We start from the raw sequence: 23,435 nt of genomic DNA, 5'->3' as shown, positions 1-23,435 counted from the left end.
GTTATTCATTTTATTCATATTTTATATTAAAGAAACCAAGAGTGTCATATAAAGAGCAACTATATATATATATAGTTTATACCAGGTATACACAAAAAAATAGATAACAGAATGTCTCAGAGCAAGATTCTGGATCAGAGTAATAGAATTTATCTTTTGGACCCACTATGCAGGAGTTGTCTGATCTTCGACAAACTGCTTACTGCTCTGTTGCTCAGTTTCCTCACCTGTAAAATGGAAATAATGGGAATCAGTATTTACAATTATTTTGAGGATTAATCCATAGCACATGCTCAGAACAGTGACTGGCAGATATTAAGCTGCAAGGTATTTTACTGTTACTGGTATTACACAAACTTAGATATATTGTACAAACACTTATGTCTTTGGGGATGTGATACTAGTTTATATGCTATAATAATAATATTAAAATATTAGCACTTTTATGAGATCGTAATTTATAAACCAAACAGTACTCATCAGGTTTTTGCAGATTTAACACTTGAATTTAATACATTTGCTTTTATAAACCAAGTTTCAATCACACATAATTGACTGCAACACAATTGTTGCTTTGGAAAATTATCTGTGATTAAGTAAATAAGCCAGATAAGATATACGAGTAAAAAAGTTGACAGATTTTATTTAAATGGCTTACATGCAAATTCAATAGGCTTTTCTTAATATACATAAATATTAGAATATAATAAATTTCTATATAAATTAAGATGCTTAACATATATGCATACTAAAAAATGTAAAGTAAAAATAATATGTATTTTTGGTTATTTTCAATTCATTGCAATTTCTCATTTTTTAAATCACAAAAATATACTTGTGTGGTACTAACAAGATTCATCATGCCCTGGTTACCACTTCAGCTCACTGAATCTTGGTCTGCAATTTTACTGCTTGCCAGAGTTCAGTGAGATAGAACATTCACACTAGTTGTATGAAGCAAGTTTGTTGCTTACAGATACGCAGTAAGGAACAGCAGAAGCCTAGGATTCGTAGAAACCCGCTCCTTCAAAGCTAAGGAAATCTGCTCAGAGCGAATGGAATCTTGTCTGCCGGTGCCTCACTTACATCACTGCTGAGGGATCCTGAAAAGTAGCCCACCTGGGTTATATACCCTAGAATTACTGGACTCAGTGGGCTAAAATGCTGTAGGACACTCTTCTCTTGGAGGGAACAGAAACAGAGCTTAGGCTGTTCCAGTCAGTTCAACCTCATCTCAAGATGTTGCATTCCCAATACAATCTACAGATATTCTCAAGAACCACAAGTGAGAGTGGGGAAAAACATGGTCAGTTCAAGGCCTCCCAGAGATCTATTCTTCCTGTAGCTTTGTAGCCCAATAAATATATATGCTTAGCTTTTGAGATCTGATTTTTGAGTTTTGAGGCTAGGTTATATGCTTATAATTTTCATCAATGTTACATTCTAGAGATTGAAGAAAAACAGATTTAATTACAGGAGGAAGAGATAGATTAATGGAATGTTAAAACTTACAACAAAGTTAGAGATAATTTAAATCATGTGCTGCATTTTACAGATACCAAAACAATGTAGAGAAAAGGTGATGAATATCCAAGAGGTTATATTACAATTTTAATGGAAATGGGCTGGGCACCATGACTCATGTCTGTAATTTCAGCACTTTGGGAAGCCAAGGCAGGAGAATTGCTTGAGGCCAGGAGTTTGAGGCCAGCCTAGGCAACACAGCTAGAACTGGCCTCTACAAAAGATAATAATAAAAAAAAAATAGCTAGGCATAGTGGTGTGCACTGTATTAGTCTGTTCTCACACTGCTATAAAGAAATACCTGAGATTAGGTAATTATAAAGAAAATAAATTTAGTAGGCTTATGGTTTTGCAGGCTGTATGGAAGCATAGCAGGTTTCACTTCTGGGGAGGACTCAGGAAACTTACGATCATGGTGAAAGGTAAAGGGGAAGCAGGAATGTCTTACATGGCTGGAGCAGGAGCAAAAGAGAGAGAAGCAGAAGGTGTTACACACCTTTAAACAACCAGATATCATGATAACTCACTATCATGAGAACAGAACTGAGGGGATGCTAATAAACTATTCATAAAGGATCCAACTTCATGATTCAATCACCTCCCACCAGGCCCCACCTCCAACACTGGGGATTACAATTTGACATAAGATTTGGTTGGTGACAGATCCAAACCATTTCATTTTTCCCCTGACCATTCTCAAATTTTATGTCCTTCTCACATTTCAAAATAAAATCATGCCTTCACAATGGTCCCCAAAGTCTTAACTCATTTCAGCATTAACTCCAAAGTCCAAAGTCTGATACAAGCTAGTCCCTTCCACCTATAATACTGTAAAATCAAAAACAAATTAGTTACTTCCAAAATACAATGGAGGTTTAGGCAGTGGGTAAGTACTCCTATTCCAAAAGAGAGAAATCAGCCAAAAGGAAGGGGCAATAGGCTCCATACGAGTCTGAAATTCAGGAGGATGGTCATTAAATCTTAAAGCTCCAAAATAATCTCCCCTGACTGCATTTTTCACATCCAGGACATACTAGTGCGAGGGTTGAGCTTCCAAGGCCTTCAACAGCTCTGCTTCTGTGGCTTTGCAGGGCTCAGCCACCACAGTTGTTCTCAAGAGCTGGCATTGCAGCTTTTCCAGGCACGTGGCACAAGCTGTGGGTATCTCTCTAACATTTTGTGGTCTGGATGATGGTGGCCCTCTTCTCACAGCTTCACTTTGCAGTACCCAGTGAGGACTCTGTGTGGGAACTCCAACACCACATTTCCCCTCTGAACTGCCCTAGTAGAGTTTCTTCATGAGGGCTCTGCCCCTGCAACAGGCTTCTCTTCTGCCTGGACTTTCAGGCTTTTCCATACATTCTCTGAAATCAAGGTAGAGGCTCCTAAGCCTCAATTCTTGCACTCTGTGTACCCACAGGCTTAACATCACCTGGAAGCCACCAAGGCTTATGGCTTGTACCCTCTGAAACAGCAGCTTGAGGTTTACCTGGGCTCCTTTGAGCCACGTCTGGAGCTGGAGTGACCAGCATCCAGGGAACAGGGGCATGAGGCTGTGCGGGGCAGTGGAGCCTGGGCCTGGCCCACAAAACCAGTCTTTCCTCCTAGGTATATGTGCCTGTGATGAGAAGGGCTGCAGCAAAGTTCTCTGAAATACCTTCAAGGCCTTTTCCTCATTCTCTTGGCTATTATGACTTGGCTCCTTTTTACTTATGTAAATTTCTGCAGCATGCTTGAATCCCTGCCCCAAAAATGGGTTTTCCTTTTCTATCCTATGGTCAGGTTGCACATTTTCCAAACTCTTATACTCTGCTTCCCCTTTAAATATAAGTTCTAGTTTTACATCTTTTATTTGCTCATGCATATGACCATAGGCTGTTCTAAGCAGCCAGGTAAATTCCCGAATGCTTTGCTGCTTAGAAATTTCTTCCTCCAATTACCTTAAATCATCGCTCCCAAGTTCAAAGTTCCACAGATCTCTAGGGCAGAGGCACAATGCCTCCGAGTTCTTTGCTAATGCATAGCAAAAGTGACCTTTGCTCCAGTTCCCAATAAGTTCCTTATTTCCACCTGAGACCTCCTCATCCTGAACTTCATTGTCCATATCACTATCAGCATTTTGATCACAACCATTTAACAAGTTTCTAGCAAGTTCCAAACTTTTCCTCATCTTCCTGTCTTCTTATCCCAGCCTTCTAAACTGTTCCAACCTGTGCTTGTTACCTAATTCCAAAGCCACTTCGACATATTCAAGTACCTTTATAATAAGCACTGCCTCACTCCTGGGTACCAGTTTTTTTGTATTAGTTTGTTCTTGCACTGCTGTGAAGAAATACCTGAGACTGGGTAATTTATAAAGAAATGAGGTTTAACTGTCTTATAGTTCTGCAGGTTGTAGAGGAAGCATATCAGCTTCTGCTTCTGGGGTGGCCTCAGGAAACTTACAATTACAGTGAAAGGTAAAGGGAAAGTAGTCATCTTACATGGCCAGAGCAGGAGCAAGAGAGGGAGGTGGTGCTACACACTTTTAAACAACCAGATCTTGCGACAACTCACTTACTCATTATAAAGAGAATAGCACTGAGGGGATGGTGCTAAACCATTTGTGAAGGATCCACTCCCAGTCACCTCCCACCAGGCCCCACTTCAACATTGAGGATGACAAATTGATATGAGATTTAGGCAGGGACGTAGAGATCCAAACCATATCAGTGTTTGTAGTCCCAGCTACTTGGGAGGCTGAGGCAGGAGGATTGCTTGAGCCAGGGATGCTGAGCTGCAGTGAGTCATGATGGTGCCACTGCACCCCAGCCGGGGTGACAGAGTGAGACTCATACTCTGAAAAATAATAATAATAGAATAAAATATGATTTTAATGGAAATTCTGAAGCATACATATCGTTACTTGCATAGTATTAAATAATTGAAAACAGCTGGATTTTTGTTATATACTATTACACATTACCATTTCTAGAAACGTCTTCTAAGCAAATAAATGAAAATTTCTTGTGTGGATTAATGCCCACAGTCAAGAATTTTGTGTGTGTGTGTGAGACAACTGAAAAAATTATGTAGGCACAAGTGAAATACTCAGCAGCCACAAAAGTCAGGCTTCATGGTAAATTGGACCATTTCAAAAACATGTCTGGATTTAACACCAACTCATGTAAAACGTTCAACATTCTTTGAAGTTACTGTCAGTTTAGCGTTATTGTTAACTTACTATTCTATCAGAGACAGCATCTAATGCTATCTAATCGTGTTTGCGACTTAGGTTTTCTCTCTCTTAGCTTTATGCATACTATCTCTTCTATTCTTCCTAGCGTTTTTGTTCCCTCTTTGTGCCTTCTTCTTTACAGACCCCGAGTAAGGATCCAGAAATTCAACCACTATTTAATGACCATTTTATGCAGAATTCTCGTATTTGCCACCTTAATTTATTTATACCCTATCAATTGCGCGGAGCACAGTCTCAACTGTGACATGAATTGTAAATAATTTAACTACAAAACATCAATGGCTGCTTCTCATGGAAAAGGTAATAGGCATGAGAAATACTTACAGTGTCATGAACAATCTGAATCAGTGTATTATGCACCTGACTCAATATATTATTCACCTTTTCTTGCACAAACATTGTCCCTCCAAAAGAGTCTCTCAGTAGTGTCATCAGCTTTACAAAACTACTATTTTCTTTGTTGATATTGCAAAAGTGTTCAGAATATGGGACCCGAGATAACATTGTCTGAATTTCAATATTGGTGGTACGCCATGCTAGCTAAGTTATATTTTCAAATTACTTGCTTTTTCAAAGTCTTGTATCAGTTGTTAAATAAGGAAAATAATAGCATCTACTAGATAAGATTGCTTTGACTATTAATTGCAATAATACAGGGAAATATTTAGTGCGGATATAGTAAGCACTCAATAAATACTAGTTATTAGTATTATTTGATTTTCTATAATGTTCACTTCACTTCACATGCCTGATACCCATATAAAAAAGTACAAGAATCACTTGTCTCTTAAAAATAATTTTAAATCATCAATTTGAAATAAGTATGGAATTATAAATAATAAAACATAAAGTCAGAGAGGCAGTATAGCATATCTTAGCATGAATTTCAGTAATACGTCAAGTCCTAGATATTCCACTTATGATTAGTGTGGCAAGTGACATTCTTTATGATTGTGCTACAGGAAATATCTAAAGGGTTCATAGTATTCATTCAGCGATTAGTAACTACTATAGATAGCTAAGAGATATATATATACATATCAATGAGAGAGGGTAAATAAAAAGCATGGGAGAGTAGAGTCCTAAAGACCACTCTAATGGGCCTTTTTAAATTGAGTATGGAGTAATGCCAGGGTAGGCAAACCCACTGAGCTTGTGGCAAAATACAACTGCAGTCTGTTTTTCTAAATAAAGTATTACTGGAACACAGATTCATTCACATAACTTCTACAGCTGCTTTCTCGCTGCAACAGCAGAATTGAGCAGTGGTGACAAGGACCACATGGTCCACAGATCTTACTCTTTAGCTCTTTATGGAAGATGTTTGCCAACTCTGAAATAAAAGAAAATATGTTGAGCCTGATTTTGCTCATGTTGAGAATAGGATACAGGAAGAACATAAAGGAAATTGTTGTCTCTAGTTGAATGGAGTAGAGAAATGAAGTTGAATGAGAACTGAGGTAATGTCATTATGTTTGACAATGGGCTAACAGCAATTTCACTATTGGTTGTAGAAGGCAATCTTGTTAATAAATAAAGCAAATAAATATAGAATTTATGATTATGGATGTTGAAATCATACTGCCTTGGTTTAATCCTAATTGTAACTTACTATGAAACCTTGGTCAAATTAATTAAGTCCCTTTCCTGAGGTTCTTCATTTGTAAAATTGGAATAATAATAGCATCTCTCACAAGTTGTTTGTGAGAATTACATGAGTTTATATAAGCAAAGCAAAAACCTCTGGCAAACTTATTATGCCATCAATTTCTAGCTTCATTTATATAAGCACATTTAATGTTATTCAGTGATAATGACCCTATTATTATATTAATGACATGTAAGTGATATTTAGTAATAAGAAATCTCATTTAAGAGATTCAATGATAATAAAGCTTTTCAGCAAGAACAGAAACCTAACATACAGTTGTCCCTCTGTATCTACAAGGAATGCATTCCAGAACCCCTGAGGATACCAAAATTCCAATGCTCAAGTCCCTTATACAAATGTAATATTATTTGCATATAACCTATGCACATCCTCACAAGTACTTTAAACTCTCTAGATTTCTTACAATAGCTAACACAAGATCAGTGTTATGTAAATAGTTGTTATATATTTTTTAATTTGCATTATTTTTAACTGTATTGTTATTTTTATTGTTTTTTCCAAAATATTTTAAATTCATGCTTGGTTGAATATGCAGATGCAGAACTTGTGGATATGGGGACACCAACTATATTTAGAAGCTTAGGTTCTACCTGAGAATGAGTCTCTGAAGCTTTTTTCTAAGTTCATACAGTACTTTAACATTTAAATAGTACTATTATTCTTACAAACATCTTAAGGAGAGAGAGATGAGAAACAGACAATTGCTGATAGTTACTTTGTTTTCTTATGATGACAGGGGACAGGTTGAGAATGGACTAGTCCCCATAAATGTCAGTCTGAAGTCTTGACTGAAGTACAATTGTGGGAAAAATTAAGTTTGCAGAAGAAAATAAATTATTTTTATTCAGAAAACAGGAAGTGACAAAAAGATGCTGTTCTTTTTACCCTTGATATCAACTGTTCTGAAATATAAAGTGACCTAAAAAATGACTCAGAAGTGTATTTTAAAGATAATATTCAGAGCAACAGATTTAATAGTGAAATGATGACACTTGTTTAAAAATAGAAATGTATGACAATGTAGGGTTGATTTGATGAATTCATTTGACATTCAAAATCATTTTATTGAATATCTGCCATGTGGTAGTAATTATACAAAGCAATGAGTCTAGTCTGTTATTTACAATGAATTACTATAGAAAGACTAAAATGACATAAAAAGAGACACCTGCTTCAGGTGGGAATGTAGAAAGTCACAAGAAATCATTAATAATTTCACCATATAACTGATACCAATAAGGTGAATGAGAGAGAAATTTATATTTTTTTAAATTTTTATCCTATAATGGAACTGAAGATATAACAAAAAATAACAAGAAGTTAACGAAATGAAAACAAGTCCAGAAAGTGACACATGCTTACTAGGAGACAGAACACCAATAGTTGCTTTCATTACTGATCAAGGGGTGGAAGGAGAAGAAACCTAGTGTAAATAACTGATGAAGAAGCCAGCCGCACCATTAAGAAATCTTTAGCCGTACTTTATATATAAGCTGTTATGATGGTTTGGAAACTTATGGAGTCCAGCCACAAGGTTTGCATGGCCTTGCAGACTATTTTTTGAGTCTGCTTGGTGGGTGGCAGTAGCATGCAGAGGTCAGTCAGAGTGTGGGAAGGGGATCTGAGGGACCCCTCCTAGGGTTGCACAGCCTTTTCAAGTGGAAGATAGTGGCCTGTTGAAGGCTTAGGGGACAGGACAGAGAGAGGAGACAAATTCACACAAGGAAATAGAGGCTTAAAATGGAGCAAAGAAGCTGCTGTAAAATGCTGGGAGCAGGACAGGAGAAATGAGGGAAAACTTTCTCAGGCATGATGGTCGTTAACTGCTAAAGCCTGGGGAAGGCCCAGAAAACATGAGAGAAATTCTTTTTCTGTTGTTGTTTGTAAACAGTTTTATTGAACTTGAAGGGCATCATGCTAAATGAAATAAATCAGTCACAGAAGGACAAATGCTGCGTGATTCCACTTATATGAAGTATCTAAAATAGTCAAACTTACAGAAGAAGAGTCTAGAATGGTGTTGACAATGAGCTGGGAGAAGAGGGAAATGGGGAGTTTTTCAATTGATATAAAGTTTCAGCTTATGCAAGATGAATTAATTCTAGAGATCTTTTTACAGCATAGTGCCTAAAGTCAACAATTCTACATTATGCATTTGAAAATTTGTTAAGTGAATAGATCTCCTGTAAAGTGTTCTTACCACAAAGGCAAGCAAACAAAACAAAGAGCAACAATGACAACTAAGGGACACAAGGAAACTTTTAGACATGATGAATATGTCTGTTACTACCTTCATTGTGGTGATAGTATCATGGGTGTATCCCTATGTCCAAATTCATCAAATGTATACATTAAATATGTGCAGTTTTTGTATATTGGTTGTATCTCAATAAAGCTCTTCTTAAAAAGAGAGAGAGAAAGAGCGTGTTTTCAGCCATACTGGTATTCTATTGCAAAGTGGCAGCCCCTGAAACCTAGTGCAAGGTAGGAAAGCTCAATTGTATTCCTACAGGGCACTTCAGTGTGTCTTCACTGAGGGCAAGCAATGACTACTCAAGCAGATAAAAATGAAATAAGTTCTATTTTATTTCCACTCATTTTCCTCTTTGGAATCTAGTAAAACACAATGAAGGCAGCATTACCACTTCCTCTCCAGCAGAGCTTGGGACATGAGCATGGAAAAGGCTGTGGAGAGCTGTGATTTATAGCCCTGACACCAGCATCAGAATGAGGAATTCCCTTTGCTCTTCTGCTGTACTCACAGCTTTTGGTGCCTCGGGCAATCTCTCTCCCCATTTCCTTGACCAACCTGTAGCAGACCTTTACTGAGCACTAGGTGAAACCTAAAGTATCGCAGAGGACATTTTAAACTGTCTTCTAAAGACGTTTAATCTAGAAAAATTTCCATAAAGCTATTTTATAGCATCTTTATTTGTAACAACCCAAAAGTGTAATACCCAAACTTCATCAGCAGTAGAATAGGATAAACAAATTGTGGCATGTTGATACATTGAATATTATTTAATAAAAAACAAGCACACAATTGACATATGCCACCGAATGAATAAATCTCTAAAATATCATGTTGAGCAGAAGAAGCCAGAGACAAAAGAATACATCACATCTTATGACTGTATTTATGTTAAGCTTAGGAATAATAAAAAAAGATAAAATCAAAACAGTGACCATAGTGGCGGTGGTAGTGGTGGTGGTGTGAAGAGAAAAGGCACAGGGAAGCATTCTTTCCTGTAATACAACAGTCGCATCTTTTAATAGTGTTTACATCAGTGTATACAATTGTTAAAAAATGTATCAAACGGAACATTTATGTTCTCTACATTTTATTATAAATTGTTGACTTCAGACAGCACCTTGAAGTGCACATCATAAATGATAATTGTGAAAGCAAACATTCTGATAGGCAAATTGCAGGTTTTCATGATAAAAAAGAATGGTTCTGTAGAATCAAAAGCCTCCAAAGTAATATCACATCGATGTAATAGTGCCCAAAGTATTTCATAAGGGCTATAGACCCAAACCTAAAGCAATCCAGATAAAGGAGGAGTTAGATATGACATGACTTGGAGGATTGATGAGGGGAAACACATGCAGGCAAAGCATAAACCAACTGCCTAGAACATGCCAAGAACATGAAGACTTAAATGTAATGGCACATATATTCATAAGTCTTGTCTGTTGTTCTCAAATCATTAACAGGAATAATTTCTTCCCTGATCCAGGGTTAATCTTGATGGGGATTTATTATAGGATACTGATATGGGATTTATTATAGGATACTGATATGTCCCCACCCAATTCTCATGTTGAATTGTAGCTCCCATAATTCTGACATGTTGTGGGAGGGACCTGGTGGGAAATAATTGAATCAAGGGGGCGGTTTTCCCCATACTGTTCTCATGGTAGTGAATAAGTCTCATGAGATCTGCTATGTTTATAAGGGGTTTCTCCATTCACTTGGCTCTCATTCTGTCTTGCCCGCCACCATGGAAGACGTGACTTTTGCCTTCCGTTTTGATTGTGAGTCCTCCCCAGCCACATGGAACTGTGGGTCCACGAAACCTCTTTTTTTTTTTTTTTTTAATATATAGATTATCCAGTCTTGGGTATGTCTTTATCAGCAGCACAAAAACAGACTAATACAGATACTGATGACCTTTCAAAATATTTAGAATGACTAACAACAGACTTTACGCTGACCTTCTCCCATTAATGACTTTCAAAACTCACAGGACACATTCGGGATGCTGAGACAGCCAGTGCTTCTGCTGCAATCAGGAAACGGCCTGCCAAATCTGAACGTTACTGCAACACTGGCCAGATCTTAAGTCTACCACCTCTGCTTTTCTGTGAAGCAGCCAATATTTCCCAGAAGTGATATGAATGATGTAAACCAAAATCACATCTAGATATGTCAAGAGAATCTGGAAAACTGTGTGTGGGCTTGCTTTTGTTTTTGTTTTGTTTTTTTTTTTAGCTTTTTAGCCTCTGCAATATAAGAAAATACACAATAAGCAGGTTTGAATGGATGTTGAGCAAGCCAATCCAAATATATCATCCCTCACACATATTTTCTTCCCATTCTTAAGCCTCCAAACAGCAATAAGAAACAAACAAAAAATGCTCCTGTGTAACACAACCTGGCGATCCTAACATAAACAACTGCTCACCCTCACGTAAAAGGAAGAACAAAGCTCTTAAGTACTGCCTCCATTTCTGAGTAATGTTCACTCCTCCTCAATTACAATCCATCTTGACATTGTGCAATCAATGACAATGAATTTTCATTTTAATAGCCATCAACCTTCTATTGTAAAAGAGTAAGAACAGAGAAGAAAAAAACAGGAAATTGAGTACTTATATAGAAACAAAACAAAAAGTTAATAAGAGTAGCCAAGGAAATCCTTATTTCTACAACTGAACAATCATTCATAATCAATATTTGAAACTTAACACTTAAGGATGGTGACACCATGGAGTTTGCTATTCACAGTTGACATAATTAAATTTTGCATTTGGTTTTTGATGGTATCAACCTTATGACCCTAATAAATAAGATAGTATTTTAGGACTGTTATGAAATCTCTCTGGTTTAGTCATGAGTTGACGTCTAAATTCCTGAGCTTATCATTCATTTCTGTAAGCGTTCCAAGTCACTCAGGAAATTCTGGCCACAGCATAGTCTTTGTAGTCACTTTCTGTACATTAAATTATGGCAGCCATTGAGTTTCCATGGGACTTGATTCAGTCAGCACTTGATCACAATCAAGCACAGGTGATGTCTTGATTAATTGGTATGCCACTACATGCCATAGATTACTTAGCACTCTGTTTCCTTCTGGCAAAGTTTTCACCAATATGCTCAAGCCCAAGGGCATGAGTAAACCAATGTCCAAATACCATCTTTTCAGATCTTTCTCCAGGAACCCCTCTACTTCCTCATACCACAACTGTTATTAGTCAACATTCAACCAAGAGACAGAAACCACAGAATAATTTGAACACAGGAAGTTTAATACAAGGAATTATAAACTCTCATAGGGGATTAGCTATTATGGGAAAGAGACAACTCTAAAGAATTCAGGAATAGCATATGGAGTAAGCAGCCACAAACTTTGAGGCTGAGGCAGACCTTCTAAAGAAGGAACAGATGTGGAAGAACCCCCTACCTGTGGCCCACCAGAGTATGAAGTTACCTTAGATTCTGTATAGAAGAAACAGCTTGAAAGCGTTCTTCAAATATACTGGAAGAAACTGCCTCCTGAGAAGTAGATTATATTTTAGGCAGTCTTTCACTGCTGGCTGTGATATACTGTTGGTTGTCATGCACTAGAAGAGCATGTCCAGAGATGTGTCCTGGAGTGAAGAAGAGTAGACCCTTTCATCCACAGTGTCCCTGCAGAGTCCTCTATTGACAAAGTTTAACATCTTGACACCTGGAAAAAAAGAAATGTTTACCAGGTTTAACTCAATTATACATTAGGAAATGAAGGGTGGTTAGAAAGAAAAACTACCTTTCCAATGAACTATTTGAAATATAAAGCTTGTGTTGTTAATTACAGAAAAATGCAAATGAAGTATAAATTCATATACCACCTCTAATTTTTTTTTTGTAAAAAATATTTCAATGACAAAATCTCCCAAATTAGAATATGAGAACTTTGATTCTGGCAATCCTTTAATGATGATGTAGTAGAAAAAGAAATGAGGCAGGAGCTTTAAGTCCAGGTGTCATATTTTTCTGTCTATAAATAAGTTGTTATGGTTTATTTTGAACAACATAGAGTATAATTAGATGGTTCCTACCTTTTCTAGGAAATTTCTGGAAAAATAACATTCTCAAATTAAAATATGGCAAGTAAAATGATACAAAAAATAAAACTTTTAGGTTGATTTATCAAAGAGGCATGAATAAACAGAATAAAATAATGAGTTTGAATTATCATATTTTAAATAATTGCATTAAAATAGATTGGTATCAGGTGCCTTTAATTCAATAAGCCTTGAGCTCTTTGTCACACTTTTTTTTCAGTATTGAGTTAAAGAGTGGATATTAAGAAAAACCTATCTACTGCTGATGTAGAAAAGGAGTGACCGACTTCATAAGTTATCTTTGTTTCCAATCATTTGAAAGAATGTCCAACATTACTTATAAGTTTTCTATAAACCTTCAGTGAATGTTAATAATTGTTGGCATTTTTTGAACAAATATTATGTTCCATAGTATATTCATGTATTCCTAGAGCTTTATACAATTAATGTATTTAATATTCATAAATACCCAGTAAGACTATTTATTAAATGCTAAAATAAATTATCATTGTCATTTTACAGATGGAGAAATTTACCAAAACCTGACTTTTGAAAGTTAAAGAGCTATGTAATGAGACAGCAATTCCACAAAATTTGGTTCCAGAATTTGATATTTATTCTATTACTATTTCCATGATGAAAAAAAAACTGAAGACATAAAAAATTTGGAAGTATATTTCTATTTTGATTATAAATTCTTTCTTCTAAGCACCACATGGTTAGAAGGGCAAAGTTTTGCAACCTATGATGGTAATTTTAGGTGTATAAAATAATCCACTTTTGTCTATTGGTAACTATTTTGCCAATTAAATTTTGTGTGTAATAACTGGGGCAAAATATATGATTAGCATTTGCAGCATCAATAAATTGCCTAATTGCAAAGTCTTGTTTTAGCTATTGCTGATTCTGTTTAAATTTTTAAAATTCCTGCATATTGAAGAATATATGCAGTCTGAGTCATTTAAAGTGGGATTTGAGTAACCAATGTTTGGATTTCATGAAATCAATAAAAACATATTTTTATTTCCCTTTGCATTTTGAAACAGATTGAAAATAAAGATTCCCTAATAACAGTGAGTATATATAAAATACCAGAGGGTCAGTGCAGTCTGACTGAGAGTACTCAGATATGCTGAACCAAGCATGTTCTATTTATTCTCCCCTCCTCACCATGGGAACCTCTCACTTCTCCTCTTCTTTGTTGGAGCAACTGAAGTATTAGAGCAGATATTGAAGAGCTCTCACAATACCTTTCCCCATCGAGTATAAATTTTCTTCCCTCAGTAGAAATATGATTGTCAGACTATGAACATTTTTTCAAAATTCTAACTCTCACTTTCAGATTTCTGAGGTTCTTCCAAAAATGAGCTAGTACTGACAACTTTTGAAGCACAGGTAAGGGGTGCCCTTTTAAGTAAGGACAGATTTCATATAAATATATAAAGATGTATCTATTACATGTTATATGATATCTATCTATCTATCTATCTATCTATCTATCTATCTATCTATCTATACTCAGCAGAGCTAAGGTAAATTATAGGGAATGGTTGCTGGCTACAATAGCTGCCAATAATATCAGAATTTATTGCAAATCAGTCTTTAGCCATCGGGTCAATTGTCCCTTTCCTACCAGATTCATGTACAGTAAATTGGAGCTATTTCACTGCAACAGATTTATATAATTAAAAGATATATATTTATATACAATTATATTTAAAACTATATAAACCTGTTGCAGTGAAATAGCTCTAATAGGAGAGAACACATTCTTCACAGAGGTGTGATGCAAAGTTTGGGTTGTTTCTAAGGAAGAAATTCTTGCATATTCAGTAATCATTACCTGAGCCAAAATGGAATGAAGAGTTTCCCAGTGAGCTAATCCAGAGCCACAGGCATCCAAAGGGGAGAACTCCCTGTTTGTCACCCAGGCAGTCAATTTTTATTGTGGCTCTGTAAAAAATAATGTCTCATTAATAAAGTGCAGTACTGAGGAATGGCAATGTCCAGTTTGAGGAGAACTAAGCTGGTTGGTGTTTTCAAGAATGTCTTTGGTCAGTGAGGAAACAATAAAACACAATACAAACTAAATTACTTTTATGGCACAAAATAATAGATGTGTCCAGTCCAAATGTAACATCTATGCACATTCCACCTAAAGAGTAAAGTGGCCCACATGATAGTTTACTTGGGTTATATTCAAAATTTCAAATTAAATAGCATACCTAGACTTTTTGTCCTTGGAACCCAATAGCCAGAGCTTAGGATAAGTCACTCATCCGAGGTCAGAACAAATAACAGAGTTACTTAACAATTTTGGGAACAAATGAGAATTCCTGCTAGAATTTACTCAAATTAAATGTGAGATTTTGAATGTCACCAACCTCAGGATATATTCCACGTAACTATAGTATTGCAATGAAAACCTGCCCCTTAGCATCCACAGGAGAACAGAGCTGAATATGTTGGCAACTGTTTCTCCAGTGCAGAAAGGACCAGTACAGAAAGGGTTGAAGAACTTCTAATTCACATCTATAATATTATGAAGACATACATTACAGGTTTTTCTCATTATATCATTGCATAGCAACCTATTAAGTTAGACGATGCAACTTATTTGAATGACATATTTGTTTTGGTGGTAAAATACTATTTCTTTTCTTCACAATTGTTTTTAGTTAACTCTGTGGTTTTACCATCACACTGCATGAATAAAGAGAATACCTTTAATGTGGTAATTAGAATTTTCAACAAGAATTTATAAAGTAGAAATTGGATATTTGTCATAATTGTCAAAATATATACATATATATGTAGAAATATCATTTGAGCTTTTTCTTCCTCCTATCTTCCTACATGGAAGATTACTAATTAAATAGTCCCCTTTCAAGTGCTCCTTTCCTGGTCACACTAACTTTAACTTGTTTCCTTTGCTCTCAGGTGTATGCCCTTATTAATCTCTAAGAGAGTGAAAAACAAAAAAAAAAGATAATTGCAGACAAGATGATGTTTGTCTAAAGCATTCATTTTGATTAGAGCCTGGGCTCCTGAATAGTGATAGCAATTAATACATAAGTCTAATGCGACCATTGCTGGACAAGAGTTCTAGTACTCCAGGTTTTCTAGTATACTTGGGTTCTTCCAGGGAAAATTTCCTTTTTCATATTCCCAGTGTGATATTCAGGCATGATAGAGTAATAAATATGTTATTTTATTTTGAAGATACTAAGCAAACAGATGAAAATTGTGTAGGAACGGGCACTAATTAGAGCAACATGGGGGGAGTGTGAAGTTGAAATCTATGATAAAAGACAGACAATATTGCTCATCCGAGGGAACAATTTTATTCTTATTTTATTTTATTTTATTTTATTTTTATTTGACTTCTATTTAGGTTCAGGGTACATGTGCAGGTTTGTTATGTAGGTAAATTGCATGTCACTAGGGTGTGGTGTACAGATTATATTGCCACCCAGGTGATAAGCATAGTACTCTAGAGATAGTTTCTCAATCCTCACCCTCCTCTCACCCTCCACCCTCAAGTAGGCCCCAGTGTCTGTTGTTCCCTTCTTTGTGTCTATGAAGTCAATGTTTAGCTCCCAGTAAGAAGTGAGAACATGCAGTATTTGGTTTTCTGTTCCTGTGTTAGTTCACTTAGGATAGAGGTCTCCAGCTCTCTCCTTGTTGCTGCAAAGGACATAATCTCATCCTTTTTTATGGCTGTATAGTATTCCATTGTGCATGTTTACTACATTTTTTTTTTATCCAGCCTACTGTTGATGGGCATTTAGGTTTATTCCACATCTTTGTTATTGTGAAGAGTGCTGCAGTGAACATACATGTGCATGTGTCTTTATGACAGAATTATTTATATTCTTCTGGGTGTATATTCAGTAATGGGATTGCTGGTTCAAATGGTGGTTCTGCTTTTAGCTCTTTGAAGAATCACCATATTGCTTTCCACAATAGTTGAACTAATTTACACTCCTACCAACAGTGTATAAGTGTTCCCTTTTCTCTGCAACCACACAAGTATCTTTTTTTTTTTTTTTTTTTTTTACTTTGTAATAATAGCCATAATGACTGGTGGATATGGTCTCGATTTGCATTTCTGTAATGATTAGTGATATTCAGCATTTTTTCATATGTTTGTTGGCCATATGTATGTGTTCTTTTGAAGTGTCTGTTCATATACATTGCCCAATTTTAAATGGGGCTGTTTGTTTTTTGCTTGTTAATTTGTTCAAGTTCTTTCTAGATACTGATTATTAGACATTCGTCAGATGCATAGTTTGCAAATATTTTCTCACATTCTGTAGACTGTCTATTTACTCTATTGATAGTGGGTTTTTTTTTTTTTTTTTTTTTTTTTTTTTTGGTGCCATGCAGAAGCTCTTTAGTTTAATTAGGTCCCATTTATCAAGTTTTATTGTTGTTGCAATTGCTTTTGGTGTCTTCATCATAAAATCTTTGCCAGGACCTATGTCCAGAATGGTATTTGCTAAGTTTTCTTCCAGAGCTTCTGTAGTTTTAGGTTTTACAGTTAAGTTTTTAATCCATTTGAGTTGATTTTTGTATATGGCCTAAGGAAGTGGTTCAGTTTCATTCTTCTGCATAAAGTTAGCCAGTTATCCAAACATAATTTGTTGAATACAGTGTCTTTTCCCTACGCTTGTTTCTTTTTTCTACTTTGTTGAAGACCAAATGGTTGAGGGGTGCAGATTTATTATGTTGCTCTATATTCTGTTGCTTTGGTCTAAGTGTCTGTGTGTGTACCAGTACCATGCTATTTTGGTTACTATAGACTTTTAGTACAGTTTGAAATCAGGTAATGTAATGACTCCAGCTTTGTTCTTTTTGCTTAGGATTGCTTTTGCTATTTGGGTTCATTTTAGTTCCACATTAATTTTAGAAGTTTTTTTTTCTTATTCTGTGAAAAATGTTATTGATAGTTTGATAGGAGTAGCATTGAATCTGTAATTTGGGCAGCATGGCCATTTTAACAATATTGATTGTTTCTATCCATGAACATGGAATACTTTTCGTTTGTGTAATCTCTGAATTCTTTGAGCAATTTATAAAAATTCTTATTGCAGAGATCTTTCGCCTCCCTGATTAGCTTTATTCCTATGTATTTTATTCTTTTTTTGGATATTTTGAATGGGATTTTGTTCTTGATTTGGCACTCACCTTGGACGTTGTTGTTGTATAGAAATACTACTGAGTTTTGTACATTGGTTTTGTATCCTGAAACTTTGATAAAATTGTTTATCAGGTCTAGGAGCTTTGGGACAGACACTACAGGGTTTTCTAGGTATAAAATCTTACCATCTGCAAACAGATATTTGACTTCCTCGCTTCCTACATGGATGCCTTTTTTTCTTTCTCTTGCCTGATTGCACTGGCTAGAACTTCCAGTACTATGCTGAATAGCAGTGGAGAGTGAATATGTTCTTGTTCCAGCTCTCAAGGAGAATACTTCCAACTTTTGCCTATTGAGTATGATGTTGGCTGTGGTTTTGTTATAGATGGCTCTTACAATTTTGAAGTATGTTCCTTCTAGGTCTAATTTGTTGAAAGTTATTAACATAAAGAAATTTTGAATTTTATCAAAAGCATTTCCTGCATCTATTGAGATGGTCATGTGGTTTTTGTTTTTAGTTATGTTCATGTGATACATCACATTTATTGATTTGCACATGTTGAACCAAACTTACATCCCAGGGATAAAGCCTATTTTATCATGCTGGATTTGCTTTTTCATATGTTACTGAATTTAGTATGCTAGTATTTTGTAGAAATTTTTCGAATATGTTCACTTTTGCTGCTGAATTTAGTGTGCTTATATTTTGTTGAGAATTTTTACATTTATGTTCATCAAGGATAATGGCTTGATGCTTTATTTTTGTGTTGTGTCTCTGCCAGGTTTTGATATCAGGATGATGTTGGCCTCATAGAATGAGACAGGGAGGATTCCCTCTTCAATTTATCAGAATAGAAATGGTAACAGCTCTTCTTTATACATCTGGTAGTATTTGGCTGTGATTTTGGTAGAAGGTTTTTTCTGGTTGGCAGATTTTTAATTAATGATTTAATTTTGGAACTTGTTATTGGTCTGTATAGGGTTACAAATTTTCCAGGTTCAATCTTGGGAAGTTGCTTGTTTCCAGGAATTAATCCATTTTGTGTAATTTTCTAGTTTGTTTGCTTAGGGGTGTTCACAATAGTCTCTAACGGTTTTCTGTATTTCTGTGAGGTCACTAGTAATGTTTCCTTTGCCATTTCTGATTGTGATTATTTGGATCTTCCCTCTTTTTTCTTTATCATTCTAGCTGAAAGTCTGTCAATCTTACGTATACTTTCAATGGACAAACTTATGATTTTGTGTTCTTTTGTATACTATTTTTTGCATCTCAATTTTTTTCACTTCAGCTCAACTCTATGCCATCTTCAAGAGACCCATCTTACATACAATAAAACACCCACAGGCTCAAAGTAAAAGGACTGAAAAAAATCTACCAAGCAAACAGAAAACAAACAAACAAAAAAACTGAGGTTACCATTCTAATTTCAGACAAAACAGAGTTTAAACCAACAATAATCAAAAAAGATAAAGAAGGGCATTACATAATGGTAAAGGGTTCAATTCAACAAGAAGGCTTAAGTATCCTAAAGAAATATGTACACACAACACAGGAACACCCAGATTTATAAAACAAGCTCTTAGAGACATACAAAGAGACTTAGATAACCACACAGTAATAGTGGGATATTTCAATATCCATGGACAGTATTAAATAATTGATGGAGGCAGAAAATTACCAATGATATTCCAGACCTAAACTCAAAACTTGACCAAATGGAACTGGCAGACATCTACAGAACTCTTCACCCAACAACAACAAAAAATACATTCTTCTCCTCTGCACATGGCACATGTCTAAAATTGACCACACAATTGGCCATGAAACAATTTTCAGCAAATTCAGAAAACCAAAAATCATACCAACCACACTCTCAGACCACAGCACAATAAAAATAGATATTAATATTAAGAATATTGCTCAAAACCATACAATTACATTGAAATTAAATGATCTTCTTCTGAATTACTTTCAGTTAAACAATGAAATAAAGGCAAAAATCAATAAATTCTTTGAAACTGACGTAAACAAAGACATACATGTCAGAATCTCTGGAATGCAGCTAAAGCAGTATTAAGAGGAAAGTTTATACTGCCAAACGCCCACATCAAAAAGTTAGAAAGATCTCATATTAAAAACTTAACATCACACCTAGAAGAAGTAGAAAAATACGAGCAAACCAACCCCAAAGCCAGCAGAAGACAAGAAATAACTAAAAATAAAATAAAATAAAATAAAATAAAATAAAATAAAATAAAATAAAATAAAATAAAACAGAACTGAACTTTAAGATACTGAGTCATTGAAAATATTTTAAATGGCCACAAGCTATCATAGAAAATATTTTAAATGGCCACAAGCTATAGTACTAATAAGAAAAAATAAGCAATGTAATAATTATTTAAAAATGACATTTGGATTTCAGCACCTTATTTTGTTAGTTTATTTCTTTTTCCTGAGGATAAGAATATTGAAAAAATGCCAGTGATTATTAACAGATGATTAGATACCAAGGTCAATCAGAAAGTCAGGAATCTCAACAACACCATTTCTTTAAAGCTGATGTTAACAGCCATGAACCTATTGATACAGCTATTTTTTAAATGGAGTATTTGAAGAGAAATTTTTCAGATACATCATAGTTGAAATATGTTTACTTTCTATATTAGTTGTTGAAATTTCTGAAAATTAATATAGTGATATGCAAGAACACCAAAGACGGAGTCTACAGCTTCACAGTATAAATAGGTGTGTGGTTTAATCAGGAAGCAGTCTTTCATACTAGTTTAGAATCTCTGGAATCAAATCGTCAGGACATAGACTTGACTGTTCCATTCACTAACTGTAAGATACTGGGCAAGATTGTCCATTTTCTATACTTGAGTCTCTTCAACTCTAGACTGGGTATTATAATGGTTCCTACTTCATGGCTAAGTTCTGAGTATTAAACGTGATGTTATGTGTATAATATAACCTGGGATTGTGCTTAGCAGTCCTAGATACAGAATAACAGTGACTTAAGTGATGTAAACAAGCAAACACACAATAAAGTTCATTTATCTTTCATATAGAAACTAAAAATCATGTGGAATCTGGAAGTCCAGTGTGGATATGGCAGTTTGCTTCATAAACTACTTGTCTATCCAGGCTTTTTTGCTCAGGAACAAATCATGGTGCATACATCTGCTCCTACTGCCTCTGTGTCTACACATCAGGTTACAGGAAGGGGGTAAGGGACAGGGAAACAGGACAAAGGATCGACAACTACTGTCTCTTAAGAAGGGTTCCTGAAAAGGTCCACATGACTTCTGCCCAACTTCACATACCCCAGTGACCAAAATTTGGTCAAATAATACACTTCTCTACAAGAAAGCTGGACAATGTGATGTCTATTGGTTTGCTTATGTGCCCAGCTAACAATTGGGAGTTTAAATTCCATAGACTACAAAGGAAATAGATATTTAGGGAATACCACTCTCTGTCATACAATAGTTTTCAGCACAAACTAAGCACTCAATTAGATGTTTGTAAAATAAGTATAAATTACCTACTCACATCATGCTGGACTAATAGGTAGTGAGTTAACTCTTTGAATGAGTCCATTTTTGTTAATTACATTAGTTAAACTTGCTAAAGAGTAAAAAGAAAGCACCTAATTTTCATTCTTTCTTTTTTGCCTTAGAAATATTAAAAAAGAGCAGTTACCTTCTATCTTTAATGATGAACACATACTTAAGTTCAGTATTAACAAGAAGTTTTGGAGGGTAATATCTATTAAAGTAATAAACAGATGTAGATGTGGGAACTGCATTGCTCTCTGGAATTCAGATTCCAAAGGGGAATTCGTTTAGGAAAAAGAACTAAAAGCATATTCAATCAGACTTTTCAAAGAGATCATCATGAGCAGAACTATATCTTTGTTAAAAAAAAAAGTAGTCATGATTGCAGAAAGTTCAGTTTAGAAGAATAGTCAATTAAAATGGATACTGATTTCCCCAGGTGTATATAATATATGTTACATTTTGATGTATCCTTGTATGAGTGACAATGTTTTGTAGCCTAAAATAATATAATACACTTCCATCAGAGGGCTATCTTTTTCACAAGAATTTGATAATCATATTTTATTATCCAAAATATTTGGCCTTTATATTTCACATTGTGGAATCAGATGACTGGCCCTCACTTGATGATTCTTTATTATCCTTAACCCCTGCAGAGGAGGACGGAAAGAGGGATGTGATTAATGCTTTAGTCAATGAAATGTCACATACCAGAAGACAAGCACAGTGATTGCAAATCAAACTGTTATTTCTATCTTAGGCTTTCTATTCATTATTTATGTAAGATATAGGTACTCTATTGGCTTATTATTACTCAAAATTATTAAATGTTAATAGTGAAAGACAATGAAACAAAGCTATGGTATCTATGATATAATTGTGTATATTCATACATAATTCATTATAGATGCATCTCATATTGTGGAATGAATGGTATAAAGGATAAAAACAGAAGGAAAGCAGTAAAATAGAAAACAAAGAGCTTGCTAGTTGGGACTAATTTCCAAAATTCAAATTTGAAAGAGAAAGGCTTTTATTCCGAAAGTTTAGCAACCAAGTCATCTGCTGCTAGAAAGTGGAGGAACCGGTGTGTTTCTAAAAAGACACCACAAAAAATTAGACACTTTTTATATGAAAAGAAAAAAAAGAAGTGGCAGATTTCTGCATCTCTACATAGTACCACTCAAACTTTCAAGAACACATTTTGGGCAAAAATCTGTTTCCTTAATTAAGGGCAGATATAACATGTGAATAAATGATAACACTCTCAAACTATGGGATAAATAAAGTTAACCAGCTGTATTTAACCTAATCTTAAAAGGACAAAAGAGATGAACATCTGCTAGGACATGAGTTAAAGTCTAGATTCCAGCTATGGTGATTTTATTAGGCAAGCAAGATCAAAGATGACTAAATCTAAGCAATATTCTAAATGAAGCTGCCCACAGATGCTCTAAATTAATCAAAATATCCTGTGTTCATTTTTGTGAAACCAAATGCTTACCCACATAAAAATAAAAGAGAAACCAACAGTACATTCATATCTAACATATATTTGCCCAAGAAAAAAATGTTTTTAAACCATCAGGACAAATGATGTAAATTTTCAATGTAATTTGACATTATGCTTATGTAGTACAAGTGTGTCTTTAAACAATTGAATTGGGATCATTGTGAATAATACATGTATTTAAAATTACTATTCTCCAACTCAGAACAAAGGAATCATATTTTTTAGAACTTAGGCCATTGAATGTAGATTTTAATAAGTTTCCCAAGAGATTCTCATTCTCATCAAAGTCTGAGAACCACTTTTTACACTATAGTATATTCTATTACCTGATATTATATAATTTTAATTAAATTGCTACTCTTCATAACAAATCATTGTCATGCATAGTTGTTACATGTATTAGAGAGCTATTGCTGCAATAATACTGCATAACAAATAACCCCAAATTTCA

At 35.0% G+C, this 23,435-nt stretch overlaps 1 long non-coding RNA gene across 2 annotated transcripts in view, besides 1 other annotated feature; it reads left to right on the top strand.

Annotated features, from left to right (window-relative positions):
• Positions 1-23,435, top strand: part of LINC02484 (long intergenic non-protein coding RNA 2484) — a 148,337-nt gene that overhangs the window by 76,464 nt on the left and 48,438 nt on the right. The window lies entirely within an intron of this gene.
• Positions 11,564-12,763: an enhancer, noted in NCBI's record as "MED14-independent group 3 enhancer chr4:34182143-34183342 (GRCh37/hg19 assembly coordinates)". NCBI's record gives its function as "activates an origin of replication core promoter dependent on BRD2, BRD4, P300/CBP and CDK7 cofactors, and independent of MED14, by STARR-seq in HCT116 cells {active_cell/tissue: HCT116}" and the evidence as "EXISTENCE:reporter gene assay evidence [ECO:0000049][PMID:35650434]".

This window comes from Homo sapiens, chromosome 4 (assembly GCF_000001405.40).
Source record: "Homo sapiens chromosome 4, GRCh38.p14 Primary Assembly".
NCBI lineage: Eukaryota > Metazoa > Chordata > Mammalia > Primates > Hominidae > Homo > Homo sapiens.
Note: the sequence above shows the minus strand (reverse complement) of the source record. Positions and strands in the feature narration are given on the sequence as shown.